At 38.1% G+C, this 14533-nt stretch overlaps 1 long non-coding RNA gene across 1 annotated transcript in view; it reads right to left on the bottom strand.

Annotated features, from left to right (window-relative positions):
• Positions 1–493: 493 nt before the first annotated feature.
• Positions 494–14533, bottom strand: part of HCCS-DT (HCCS divergent transcript) — a 263596-nt gene continuing 249556 nt past the window's right edge. Inside the window, exons 5-6 of the long non-coding RNA NR_186561.1 lie at positions 12994–13297; positions 494–1755 (exon numbers count right to left, since the gene is read on the bottom strand). This is a non-coding gene — a long non-coding RNA (HCCS divergent transcript). The remainder of the gene's footprint in view (positions 1756–12993; positions 13298–14533) is intronic.

Consider the following 14533-nt stretch of genomic DNA (forward strand, 5'->3'; position numbering starts at 1 on the left):
GGGCTAGTGAAAGGATGAGGCTGAATTGCAGGGCCTGGGTGGGAAACAAATTAGCAGGGATGAAGATCAAGTGTGTTGTCTAGTCCACCTCTACCCATGTTTTGCCAATGAAATAGCCTTCCCTCACTGCCTCCCCACACTCAGACCACCCTTCCTAGGATAACTGCAGAGGTCAGTAGATGAGAAATTCTCAAGTTGGCTGGATTTAAGCTCTGAATGAACCACACTTTGAACCAGAAGTGACCTTTTTCATTGAATTAACAAACAATTCTTATGCTAAGTGGAAACAGTGGCTTCAATTGAGTTTAGTTATAGAGAAATAATGTATTTTTGCACCTTAATGATGTGACTATAAGTTTTAAACTTCCTACAAGTATAGAACTTATTAAAATAGCTAAGTCCAAAAATGTTGAAGAATAGCATATTCAAAAGATGACTCACATTTGTATAGTTATATCCTCAGCACCCAAAAGAGTACTTGGCACACTGGAAGTTTTCAAAACATTTTGTTTAATGAAGGCACAAATACTAAGGAGAGGCCATTGAGAGCAGTTAGTAAAAGTGTAGATTCCAGAACCAGATAACCTGTCTTTAAATTTTCTCTCCACCACTAATTTTATGATTTGGAGCAAGTCACTCAATGCTTCTGAGCCTTAGTTTCTTCACTTGTAAGAAGAAGGGAATCATGCCTGTCTCTAGGATAACTATGGGGATGAAATAAAAAACTATATATAAGATGTTCATCCCAGTGGCTTGCACACAGTAGGTCCTCAATCATCATCTAAAGTAAATCATGGCAGGTTTTTAAGAACACGTAACTGGTATCATTTCAATCTAAACTTTAATTTTAAGCAAAACCATAATGAGCACAACTTGGGTCACTTTCTTAGAATCAAAATCTGTGGGTTTATATTTTCATGATGTATCAGATCCCTCTATACCACAACTGCCATGTCATGAGTAGAACATAGACATTAGACTCAGAAGTTGACAAATGACCCTTGGCAGGCCATTAAAACTTGTTAAGGCTCTTGATTCCATCATCTTGTGAAAAGGGAAGGATATTAATTTTTACTTCTTAGATTTTTTTCTAACGATGAAATGAGTTCAGGTGGAGCAAGTGCCTTATAATAAACTTTTGTTAGGCATTTGTTTTAATGCCCCTGAAGACTGGCTTCCATGGCCAATTGCTTCAAATTCAGCAGCAAAATTTATTTCTTCCTGTGCTTGACTCAAGAGCATATATGTGAAAGTCTGTTGACAAGAGTAAAACGTTATAGCAATGGAGGTGGCAGTGTGTACCCTATCCCTTCCAGGTAATTCTTCTACCCTGTCTCTCTTCAAACAGAAGCTAGGTATGCTTGAAAATATTGAACTCCCTTTTAACACCAGCAATTATTTAAGGGCCCCCAGGCCCCCTACTCTCAGGAGGAAGACAGAGTAGAGACCAGCATCAGCCTAAAGTCAGGATTGAACAGTCCGTCAGAGCTGCCTTTGTTGACCTTGCCTTATGGAGTTTTGTCTAACTCCGTAAACTTGGTTTACTTGACTATTCCATCTTGTGTTGGGTGACCTCTATGAACCTGATCCCTGGTTTAAGTGACCTCCACGGCCTCATTTGCTCACTTTCTCATTCACTCACTCATTCCTTCAGTGATGAACTATATTCAAATTGTAGTTAATCAGTGATACTGAGTCTTGTGGAAGATCAAAGGATGATTCAGGAATTCACTGTGCCTTTATACATCTCAGAGCCTGAAGGGGAAGGAAGAAAATAATTACACACAGATAACTAATGCTACAAATGTATTACATTTATATGCCTGCTCATACTACTAATATTTAATTATATATATGTATGTGTGGTGTACAAGTGTATATATGTAATACAGATGATAAATGACATAAGAAGAATCCAACTTAGATGTTTTTAGAATTTGATGAAAAAAGATGACAGATAAGGGGCTTATGCAAATCTTTGTTGAAGGGCATGTGAGGTGGTTTTTCGGCACAGATATATTTGGGTGTAAGGAGAGAGTGCCAATTCAGTTATTCATTTTATAAAAATTTGTTAAACTGCACATATATGCTTAACTTAAAATAATGTTGACAGACACTTTAATCATCATGTTTCTTAAGTTTGCACTACATTGTCTGCTCCTCTGACCATTCCAAAATGTGGTATCTGAAATATATATTTTAATTAGGCTAACAAAATTATTTTGTCAAACCGCTTCTAACAATAATTGGGATGTACTGATGAAATGGAAAACCGGGATTGGGATTCATCCATCTAAGTCATCTAAGACCCCAAAACTAAGATAATTTTCTCAGAGAAATAGAATCTATAGCTCTCTCTCTGCGTTCTTTGACTCACTCAGTATTTTTCTTTTAACACATGGATAATATTGTTTGTCTCCCTGAACTGTGTGGCTATTATGGGAGTTTTTAGGGTAATTTGTTTAAATACTTTAATGAGCCCAGTGTATTTGAAATCATTTCAGAAGGTCTTTCTTCCATGGGCAGGCTGACCAAGGGTTCAGAGACCAGTTCCTCCATCACAGCATAAGGGACCTTAGCAGAATCTACCAATGGGTGGAAGGTGAACTCCTCACCCACAGTCCCTTGAGGGAAATTCACAACTAGATTGGTGAATGACTGAATGGCTTGTAGGGCTAGGGATGGTTGTGAGAAGGACAGAGAAGGAGAGGTAGAGTGAAATATAGAAGAAAGGAAGTCCAGGCACCAAGTGGGGAAAATGTTTCATTGACAAGCAACCTTGGAAAGTAAGAGATTAGGAATCAGGGACTTACGGGTTAAGCCTAAATGTGGGGATTTGTATATTCTAGCTATGTTTCAAAATCAATTTATAATAACTGACACAAACTAAACAGAACCATTAAAATAAGGATAAAAGAGTAAGAACAACATAATAAACCAAGAGAAGCAGTTGCTTAGAAAACAAGTACAGCAAAGTCATTAGAACTGAACACAATGATTAGCTCCAGGAGCCATGGGAACTAAGGCAGGAAGAAAAACAAGACTAATTACATAGTTTGCATGATACAGAGAAAGAGGAAACCATTTTACTAGCACCAAGAGATAGATATTTTAGCCAGGCACGATGGTCCACGTCTGTAGTCCTAGCTACTCGGGAGGCTGAGGTGGAAGGATCATTGAACCCAAGGCTTCAAGTCCAAGTTGGGTAATATAGTGAGACCCTGTCTTTAAAAAAAAAATAAAAATATAGGTATTTTATTCAAGGGGTCATGTGGTAGGCAGAAGAATGCCTTCCCCCTTCCCCAAAGATGTCCTAATCACCAGATCTGTGAATGTTCCTCACTTGACAAAAGGGACTTTGCAAATATTATCAAGGTAAGGATCTCGAGATGGAGAGATGATCTTAAATTATCATGGTGGGCCCAGTGTAATCACAAGAGCCTTTGTATGGGAAAGAAATAGGCAGGAGGGTCAGAGTCAGAGAAGGAGACGTGATGATAGAAGCAGATGATTGCTGGAAGGGGATCATGAGCCAGGCAAGGTGGGCAGCCTCTAAAAGCTGAGAAAGGCAAGCAAACAGATTCTTCCCTAGAGCCTCCAGAAAGAATCAGCCCTGCTGAAACCTTAATTTTAGCCTAGTGAGAACCATTTTCAGAATTCTGACCTCCAGAATTATCAGGCAATAAATTTATGTTGTTTTAAGCCACTAGATTTGTGATACTTTGTTATAGCAGCAAGAGAAAACAAATATAGATCTGGTTTATAATAGACTGAGAAAAAAATCACTAAAATATAACTTAGATCACTTCTGTTGGGACTAAAAATAATATGGCTGATTTATGTAATATTCTGGCAAGGCTGTCTAGATGTAAGAATCCAGGTACATGAGAATCATCTGAAGAGATAGTGAACAATTCAGATCCCCAAGTCCTTCTCCAGTTCTGCTAAACAGATTCTGTGGCTAGGACCCAGGAATCTGGATTTTTAACAAGCATGTGTAATAGCTATTATTGCTGCATACAAATTACCACAAATGTAATAGCTTGAAACACATAAATTTATTATTTCAGTTTCTGTGGGTCAGAAATCTAGGCACACCTTAGCTGGTTCCTCTGCTTCAGGATCTTATAAAGGCTACAGTGAAGTAGCCAGTTGGGGCTAGAGTCTCATCTGAAGGTTTAGCTGGGGAAGGATCTCCTACTAAGCTCACTCATGTCGTTGGTAGAATTTAGTTATTTAAGGGCTTTTTTCCTCTTTTTTTTTAATTTTTCCATAAGTTATTGGGGTACAGGTGGTATTTGGTTACATGAGTAAGTTCTTAAGTGTTGATTTGTGAGACTTTGGTGCACCCATCACCTGAGCAGTATACACTGCACCATATTTGTTGTCTTTTACCCCTCTTATTTCAACGCTTTTGGACTGAGGGCCTAGGTTCCTGGCTGGCTATTGGTTGGAGACTGTCTTTAGTTCCTTATCAGGTGAGTCTCTCCAACATGGTAGCTTGCCTTATCAAAGCCAGCAAGAGAGATTCTACTAGCAAGATAGGGCATACAATCTTAGTAATGTAATCAGGGAAGTGTATTCCATTACCTTTGCTATATTCTATTGGTTAGAAGCAAGTTATAGATCCCATTCACATTCAAAGGAATGGATTACACAATGGCGAGAACACTAGGAGGAGGAGATCAATGGGAATCATTATCTGGGATGCTGTTAGGTTGCTTCTAATTGACCTAACAGCATCCCAGATGATTTTTGTGTATGACCAAGTAGTGAAGTACTAACTTAGAAGAATAATTAATAGAAGGAATCAACAATTCCAGCTGGGTTTTTGACAGGAAATGGATTTGAAACAGTTCAAGACTGTGGGCTCTGGTGATGTCTCTGCTGTGTCCTTTTCATAACAAATGCTGTAAGTTAGCATAGTGTCTGGAACTTGGAGATAGCCATTATCACTACTTTCAGTCCCCTCTCTGCTACCAGTCAATTGCTCACTATCCCCAAGCTGACCTCAACATCTCAGGGGAGCTGGTTTGTGGGAAAAGTGGGTAGGAAAGAGGGAGGGTAAACTGGCATGGTAAGAGTGGGTCTCTATGGAATTCATGAGTTCTGATTATTTTTAGTTTCTTCTCAAAAAATGTAAATTTTGCCCTATCACAATATAAAGAGAATCTATTTCACAATTTACACAGCTGATTTTAAATACTATCCTATTTCAAGCTCCATCACATTTTCCTCAGATATTGAAATGTTATTCTGGCAGAAACATTGGCATGTACTTGCCAAGCCCTCCTGGGCACAACACTAAACATTTCCCAGCCCCTTGCAGTTAAGCGAGGCCAGGGAATGGAGTCAGCTTGTGGCAAGTGGCCTGGCTGCTGAAGCTTCCCTCATGGTCTTTGAAACTCTCTTTTCACTCATCCTTGGCTGGATGTTTGAGAACACAGAAAAGGCCTCTGAGGCCCTTGTGATGGCATAGGACTAAAGGAGTCTCTGGACTGAAGGAGCCTGGGGTCCCAGGCAACTATGTGGATTTCTCCTCCACTCTTGTTGGCCAACTGCACAGGAGTGAAATGTGAGCAAGAAATGAACAATTGTGCTGTGAAGTCACTGTTCATTACAGCAGCTGACATTACCCTAAGTAAGAGTTGTATTGTTTTCTTCTGCAGAATGGAAGTCACGTGCTTGGTGTAGAGGGACATGAAATAGAATAGTTCATAGGGGTGATGCATATTCCCTTTGTGTTCTTTTTCTCTAAATTATACATTAGCATGGATCATTCTAGATGTCAATTCTCTATCTGTGGAAATTGAGCTATTTCTCAGTGAGTCTGTATGACAGGCCAGGCCCACTATTCTGACTCAGACACTGATTCTAAGGGGATGGCCTGCCCTGAATTGCCACACTCCCACCAATCTAAATTGAAATAATGACCACCTGCTGACAACCTGTGCCCCACCCCACTAGACTAGAGAGTCTTTGTCCTGATGCCAGCCTGGTCCAAGCATAGTTTGGTTACGCTTTTTAGACATCCTGTAGTGGAACGCTGGCTTCCACTTGAGAGTTCAGGGACTACTCAGACATTGTCTTATTTCTACATTAATACACTAACCTGTGCCGTTAAGGTACCAGCCTGTCTTTTGCAAAACCCCAACACTTTCGTTTTTAAAAGGGAAAAAATGTCATTTAATATGTGTGAGGCCCTGTGCTCATCATACATCATGTTTTATGTACTTTTATTTAAATGTCTGGGGTAAGGTATCCGGATTATGTTGACATGCGCTGATGAGAAAAATGAATCTCAGAGTAGTAAGCTTCCACACAGCTAATATGTGGAGAGAACTGGAATTAGGAGGCAAGTCTAATTCCAAAGGCAATACTATTAAGTTGTGTGTGCGTGTGTGTATAATGAATAGATTTAAAAACATATAGAAATATACATGTGCATTGAACAGTATTTAAACCATGTATACATATGTATGTATAATGAATAGACTTTAAGCCATAAGTGCATGAGAGTTGAAGGGAATTTAAACCATATATATTTATGTGTGTGCTGTATGCATATAATAAATACTGTCAACAATGTTTATACATACTTGTGTATGTGCATTTAATAGAATGTAAACCATATATGTATGTAGATGTGTATGCATTGAATAGGATTTAAACTTTGTATTTGTGTGCATGTGTGTGTGTATAAGGAACAGTTTTCAAGGAGGATATATTGACTTGGCCAAGCACACAAAGCCAGTGACAGAGGTGGAAACCTATTCTGGCTTCACAAATCTATGAAAGTTGGCCTTCTCGAAGTTCTAGATGTTAACTTCTTTCAGGGTAGCTTCTTAATAATTTCAGTACATATTTGAAATGTTTTGCAAAGGGCTAGAAATATACACCTTCCACATCATGCAAATAGAAAAAGCCAACAGACTGTATAAGATGAGGTTGTGCTGTGGTTTATAAAACAATATTAATAATTATTTCTAGAATTCATTATAATGCTGTATTTGACATGTCTGCTTTTAAAAAAATACATGCCATCTCATACAACAAATTCAGAGTCTGTGGGATTTATGCAATATGTACAATAATATTTTAAAGTACAGTTCTTAAGGTTTTTTATATAGTTAAAAAATATCTTTAACTTGGCATGCATATATATATATATACATATATATATGAAGCTTTGGAATATCATCTTCTAAACCAGCTATAAAAAATTTGGTAAAAATAGGACTTAGGCAGAAAATTTTCTTAGCTGGTATTCAATTAATGTTAACTTATTTACTGAATGAACGAATGAACAAATGAATGAATTACTGATATAAGAATGCACATTATTAAACCTGTATGATAATTAAGGCTATGAAGCATATACCATGGATTTTCTCGAGTAAAACTAAAACAAGATAAATCACACAACACCATTTTCCACACATATGAGGTGATTGTTAATTTATACAATGTCACATCAGTTAACTGATGATAAAAATCTTGGCAGTTTGGTTGATATTATGAATTAAATTCTGTATGGGTCATGGTTGCATATTTCCCAGTTTAGGGGGTACAATAATGAGGTCTTGACTTGACTTTTAATTTTCTAAACAACACTTTGGTTACATTTCTAGAATTTCGTTATACTGATGTCATATCACAAGCCCCTCATGCTCTTGGCTATGTAACAGGATTTCTCAACCTTGGCATTATTGACATTTGGAGCGGGATCATTCCTTGCTGAGCAGCATCCCTGACCTCTATCCACTAGATGCCAGTAGTCTCTGCCTTAATTGTGACAACTAAAAACGTCTCCATTCATTGCCACGTGTCCCCTGGGGGGCCCAATCGCCCCTAGTGTAGAACCACTAGTGTAGATAATGCAGGAGCACATTTGAGAGATCAGGGCCTTCAGCAAGGAGCTGTAACCCACGATCTGGACTCCGTTGCAGCTTTCAACTTTTATCTCGGTGAGATTCAGGATGTTGACTTTCCTTTTGATTCTTAGTTGGCTCTTGGCCTCTTCTTTAGAAGGTATCCTGAAACTAACCAACGACTTCGTCCAATTTCTCCATCCAGTTTAAATTCTGGCCACGTGGCTAGAACTGTTTTCCTCCATCAGAATAACTAAAGTTTAAAGTTCAATGCTCCCTAAACTCTCTTGGGATCTAGCAGAGTTACTTCAAAAAGAATGTGCTCTTATATAGGCTACTTTTAAAATTATTTAGACAGGAACAGATATTAAACTTCATGCATTTCACTTTGCTGACATCTGACAGCTATTAAAAAATAATCTGACGAGCATACATGTTTACATGTGTCTTCTTTCTCAACAGAATTTCTCAAGTAAACAATCTCTTTTATCTATACTTAGATGAAGTTTTAATAATATTTCATTAAGATCTCCATAAAATTTGCAGCAATATTTACGTTTTATTTTCATTACTATAGGAATCAATCATTTTTCCTCAGGAAAAATTAGGCTTCCACAAACACCCTACTGTTTAAGAAAAGCAGTTAATTACAAACACTAAAGATTAGTGTTTCAGCCTAGAGTTAAAATGAAGAACCTCTCTTATCCTTTGAAACAAATAGAGTCTACTCCTGAATTTGCTACCAAAAATATATTTTCACTGATGCTCCCTGTTAGTTAAATCATGTCTGAAATTCCATAAAGTAAATGCATTATGCTGTAAATGGGTAGTCATTATTTAAACAAAGGAATATAAGTAATTATGCCTCTACACAAAAAGAAGAGTTCTCCAAGTCACTCTCAAGTGCTTCCTCACCGTGATTCAAGTTTCTGTAAGTTCCTGTGTCCAAATTTTCAAATGTTGTTGTCGACAAAGTCCTCTCAACATAACATTCTATGCTTATCTACTCTTGGTAATTTCCTAATAGGTTTATTTGGAACCAAGATGTGTTATTTCAAGCTTCAAGGTCTTCAAACCCAGCATGAGAAATCTGGGTTGGCTCCCATCTGCCTCTTAATTCTTTTCTCTTAATAACAATCCAGTAATCCAATTTTAGCTTGCATTCAACTCAGTGCTCTATCAGGAGGTACGGAATTCAGTTTGCTCATTTGATTCCCAAGTGCCTTGGCTAAAAATATGTCTTGTTATTGTCAAAGAAAACAATGCAATTTGAAGACTTATAAGGAATTAAAAGGATAAGAAAGAAAATGAGGCTCTATTAAGTTTAATATGTCATCTCTCAGTTTTCTTTATTTAAAGGGCAACAGAATATGACTGTTTTCAATACAAAACATTGAAAGTAGAACTTAAAACAACTTTCATAAATAAGGAATTTTCTCAGGTGCTCCATGGATGACTCTGAAGGGTACAGGAATAGCATGTGACACGACTGAGAGGATGTGTTGATCAGCAGTTGACGCAAAAGCTTCCTTCTTGCCACCCCAACTTGCCTGTGTTATTAAGCCTCACAGCTAAACTATATTAGAGGGCTGGCAAATATTTGTTCCTCTCTATAAAAAATTCTTAGCTTAGATTGTTGGCTCACGATATTTTAACCAGAAGAAATATCTCGCTTTAAATCAAGTGTCCCAGGTCTCAATTTAAAATTGGTGATGTACTGAGAACATTTCCTAGGGACAGAACTCCACTACATCTGCCTACCAGGTGGCAGAAATGTAAGTACCCAGAGTAAATTTTATATTAGAAAGGCAGATAATTCTGACACAAGCAGACAGAGAGAAAAGCTGCCAAAATAGAGCAGGGAAGAAACAATACCCTAAGAGTGCTCCCCTTTTTACTGTTCCCTAGACGTGTCTCGCCCCCGTCCCAAATTCTTAAAAGTCACCCTACAATTCAGAGCTCCAAGCTCAGACTTCTCATGTTTTTGTTGTGGCTTCTGACCTTTCAACTGCCCCACTGATAACCTAGCATAAGATAGATTAACTAACCATATGCTGAAAGGTTCGACCATCCCTTGGGGGATATCAAACTACATGGAGAACTCTATGTCCTGGCAGGGGAAACACAGTCTAACCCATTTTTCTTACCACTGCATGCATTTCACGGGCCTGGGAAAAATGGATATTCTTACTTGTTTTACCAAACTCCATCAAAACAAGACTAGGTGTCGCCCAAACAACTAATCAGAGCCTGGATTTTATTGTGGCTCGAGGGGAAAGCAGAAAGATCATTGACATTTTCTTGGCTCTAAAGCTACCTTAGGGGAACCTTGCAACCCAGACGTTCCTCAAGGGATACCAAATATCACTGTACTTGATGTGGAAAAGCATATTAACTCAAGAACCCAGATATTCTTATTCTTGTTTTGGAAAATTGATTGACAAATATGAAGACAGTCATATTTGACATAAATATCATGGTACACTTGTTCTTAGTGCCTTCTTAAAGTTTAGTACAAAATATTGAGCTAATTCTCAAAGCCTCCCTTCTGATGCCAGAAAATATTTCTGCAAGAATTCTATGCATTGTCATCAGCAGAGTGCTGCTGCTCAATCTGAAGTCGTTGCCTGCTGGAATAACCTCTCTTCCAAAGCTGGAGATCTGTCTTCCAACAAAACAAACATCCAACACCAGAATGGCAAAGAACCACAGTCCTTCTCTCAAAGCCTCTTGGTCAAGGTGGGAAATATTTGAGTGATTATTAACAAACACAAGTGGCATTACCAGTTTCAATCACTTCTTTTACTTTTCATCTCTATTGCCCTCTCTTTGGTTCAAGCTACCATCCTGTCTTCCCTACAGTACTACAACAGCCTCTTTGTTTTTGTTTGGTTTTTGTTTTGGTAAAGGTTGTTGGGGTGTGATTTACATATCATAAAGTTTACCCCCTCTATGTGTACATTTCAATGATTTTTAGTAAATTCACTGACTTATACAACCATCACCTTAATCCAGTTTTAGAACATTTGCACACCTTCAAAGAGATTTCTCATGTCCATTTACAGTTAATCTCCATTTCTCCCTTCCTCAGGCTGCAAGCAGTCACTAATCTACTTTCTGTCTCTCTAGATTTGCCTTTTTGGGTATTTCATATAAATGGAATCACATAATATGCCACCTTTTGTGACTGGCTTTTTTTCATGTAATATAATGTTTTCAAGGTTCATCCATGTTACAACATGAATCAGTACTTCATTCCTCTTTATGCCTGAATAATACTCCATTGTATGGATGGACCACATTTTATTTAACAATTTACCCATTGATGGACATTTGGGGTTGTTTTCATTTTTTGGCTATTATGACTAACGCTGGTGTGAACACACACATACAAATCTTTTCTATGTTTCACTTTAGGATTAGAATTGCTGGGTCATGTAGATTTATGTGTCACAGTCTCTGAACTCTTCTACTTGTCTCACATCTGGGCCCACTTCAAGACCTTCTCCTTACTATGGCTAGAATGGTCTCTTTTTTTCTTGCTGAAATGTCTTTATTCCTAAAGTATGATCTTTCATGTTTCTTTTTTTAAAAATTATTTTAATGGCCACATAATAATTATATATATGTATTGGGGTACAGAGTGATATTTTGATGCATGTGACTGTCCTGATTTTTTCATTACACATTGTAAAATGATCTTTTGAAAACTGAAATTCACGTGTTATTTTGCCTGGTTAAAAATGCTCCAGGGGCTTCCCATTGTCCTCGAGTTGAAATCAAAACTTTGCAACACTGTTTGTGGGGCCTTGTATGATCTGTTTTTATTCTGCAGCCTCTAATCTTATTCCTCCACTTCACCTGGCTCCTTAACCTTCTCTATGTCAATCAGACTAATCTTTAGTTTTCAGTACAGACTGTGCTCTTTTAAGGCCTTATCTTGGGCTGTTCCCTCTATCTAGAAATCTCCTTCCCTTTAGGGTAGTAGTTAAAAGGGAAGCTCTGGAGTTAGACACCTGAATTCACCAATTAAAAGCCATATGATTTTGGGCAAGTCATGTCTCTGTATGTCAAATTCCACATCTTTAAATCGAGGATTAATAACACATCTTGACTCATAGGGTCCTTGGAAGGATGAAATGTGTTACAATGAGCAAAGCGCTTTCAACAGTCTTCAGTAAAAGTCAGCAATGGCCAATGAATTCTTCATTTTTTTTTTTGGCTTAGATTTAACTTTCTTCTAGAAGCTTTCACAGACCTCTTAAGTATGGGCTAGCTCCTTTAAGTGTTTCCATAATACTCTGTTTTTGTTGTATCATATTGTTATTGCCAGTTTACTTATCCGTGTTCTCCTGGTAGTATCTGAGTTTCGTAAGGCAAACCAGAGTACCTCCAACTTCAGCATCTAACAGACAGCATGGCTCACAATAAATGCTCATTAAAATATTTGCTAAATTGAAAAAAACTGTATTAGATAGTCTCTGTGTTCCATTCATTCCCATCCACCTTCACCCAGTTGTCTCTCTCAGAGAGACCTACATGGACTGTATCATCTAGACTACATACCAGCTGTGGTAAGTAGTTTGGTTGGGTTTGGCCAAGAGGAAGCTCTGGCAAGAGACAGATGAGTGAGCGGAGGAAGAGGTCATGGTAATTACCCTTTCCACTTCCTCCCTGCTGTGGTTCTGCCAGTGACTGCATTCTGCTATAGCTATGGCTCCTGTTAAGACATCCCACTTCCAGAGCTCTAGCTCTTTCTGGTGCCATTACGGACATTCCCTTCTCTTGCCCACTCAGACCTAGGAGTGGCAGCTGCAGCTTCCCGTTATTGCTAACCCCATTCCTCATCAGTCTTTTAGCCCTGCCCAACCATCTGTAAAAAGTTCACTATTCTCTCTCCATGTAAACTCATTTGAGTGTGCCATCTGCTTTCTTTTGAGACCCTGAATAATAACAATGACTGAGCATAACCATTCCTGCTAGGGGTCTCAGGTGGCAGAGAGTGGGGGGACTCTTTGGTGTGTTTTGTTGGAGAGATAGTGGTGGGGTAGAATATGATTTCACTATTAAATAGCTTGCAATGTTTACAGTTCTTATTTTTATGTGTATATACGTCACTTACCATATGCCAGGATGTGTTATTGCCAATGGTTTCCATATGGATAGTTCATAAAGCATTTTACTGCTGGATCATTCTTTCCGGTGCACTCTGTAGTGAAGACTGGGTAGCAGTGCTTGACTTGATTGATAGAAAATCATAGTCCACCAAGTGCTAAGTCTCTTCAAGTATCACAATTCTTTCCAGTTCCAGCTGATGGTACATTTCTTAGGCTATTATTTCTAGTTCTATTTGAGAAACAATGCTGGATATGTGATCTCACAGTTTTCATTTCAGGAATAGGTTTCAGACAGCCAAGCATCAGACTCTGAAACCAGGAAAGACATATAGGTTCAAAGACCACCTCCTGGATATCCTTGTCTCTTGTGTTAGTCTGTTGACGTATATCAAGCACACACTCCTTACAGAGCCTGATCCTATTTGCTTAGTTTCCAAGAGACAGGAGGCTTGAACTGACCCTTCAGGTGTTTTATGATATAACTATTGCTTTGTGTCAAATAGGTGTCTTTTTGCATATGAACTTAGAGTTATAAACAGCACACACAAGGACTTGGCATTATTATCCAGTTTGCATAATTTAAAATGATTCTTTGATTAGTAAAGCTCAGATTTCAAGAGTTCTAACTAGATTACTTTGCAGCCATTAAAATTTGTCTGGAGCTAAATGTGAGAGGCTATACTGAGGAATTGATGGGTTTTTTAAAAGTACATATTCTAAAATTATGGTTATATTTGTTTCCTATAGCTGTTGTAAGAAGTTACCACAAATTTAGTGACTTAAACAAAGCAAATTTATTATTTTATATTTATGGAGGTCACAAGTTCAAATGGATGTCACTGGGCTAAAATCAATATGTCAGCAGGGCTGTGCTCTTTCAGGAAGTACTAGGGGATAATCAGTTTCCTCGGCTCTTCCAGCTGCTTGGGCCTGCCCACATTCCTTGGCTCATGGCCCCTTCCTCCATCTTCAAAGCCAGCAATGCTGGTTGAGTCTTTCTCACACTGCATCACTTTGACACTGCTTCCATCCTCATACTGCTGCCTCTGACTATCTTGTCTCCCTCTTTCACTTACAAGGACCCTTTTAATTATACCGTGCCCACCTGGGTAATCCAGAATAATTTCCCCATCTCAAAATCCTTAACTAAATCACATCTTCAAAGTCCTTTTTGCCATGTAAAGTAACATAATCATAAGTTCCAGAGATTAGGATGAGAGGCCTTTATTTGGGCCTACTCCAATCTTTGGGGGCCATTATTCTACCTACCACACCTATTAAATAATTATTTAAAAATTTAAAAACCTTTGTCTTTGCTGTTATAAATAATTAAAAATGATGGAAATAAAAGCTAAAAACTAAAAAGTATTCTATGGGTGTTTTCAATTTTCTCCTGAGGCCATAACAAAACTGAGAAACATTCTGTTACCTTGATGTCTTTAAATGGAAATAAACACAAGCACTTCAAAAGGCTTAAATTTTTTGAACTTAAAATGGTTAATACAGGTAAAATTACTGAAGTAGAGAATGTGCTCAAAAATAGTC

The sequence above is a fragment of the Homo sapiens genome, chromosome X (genome assembly GCF_000001405.40).
Source record: "Homo sapiens chromosome X, GRCh38.p14 Primary Assembly".
Lineage (NCBI taxonomy): Eukaryota > Metazoa > Chordata > Mammalia > Primates > Hominidae > Homo > Homo sapiens.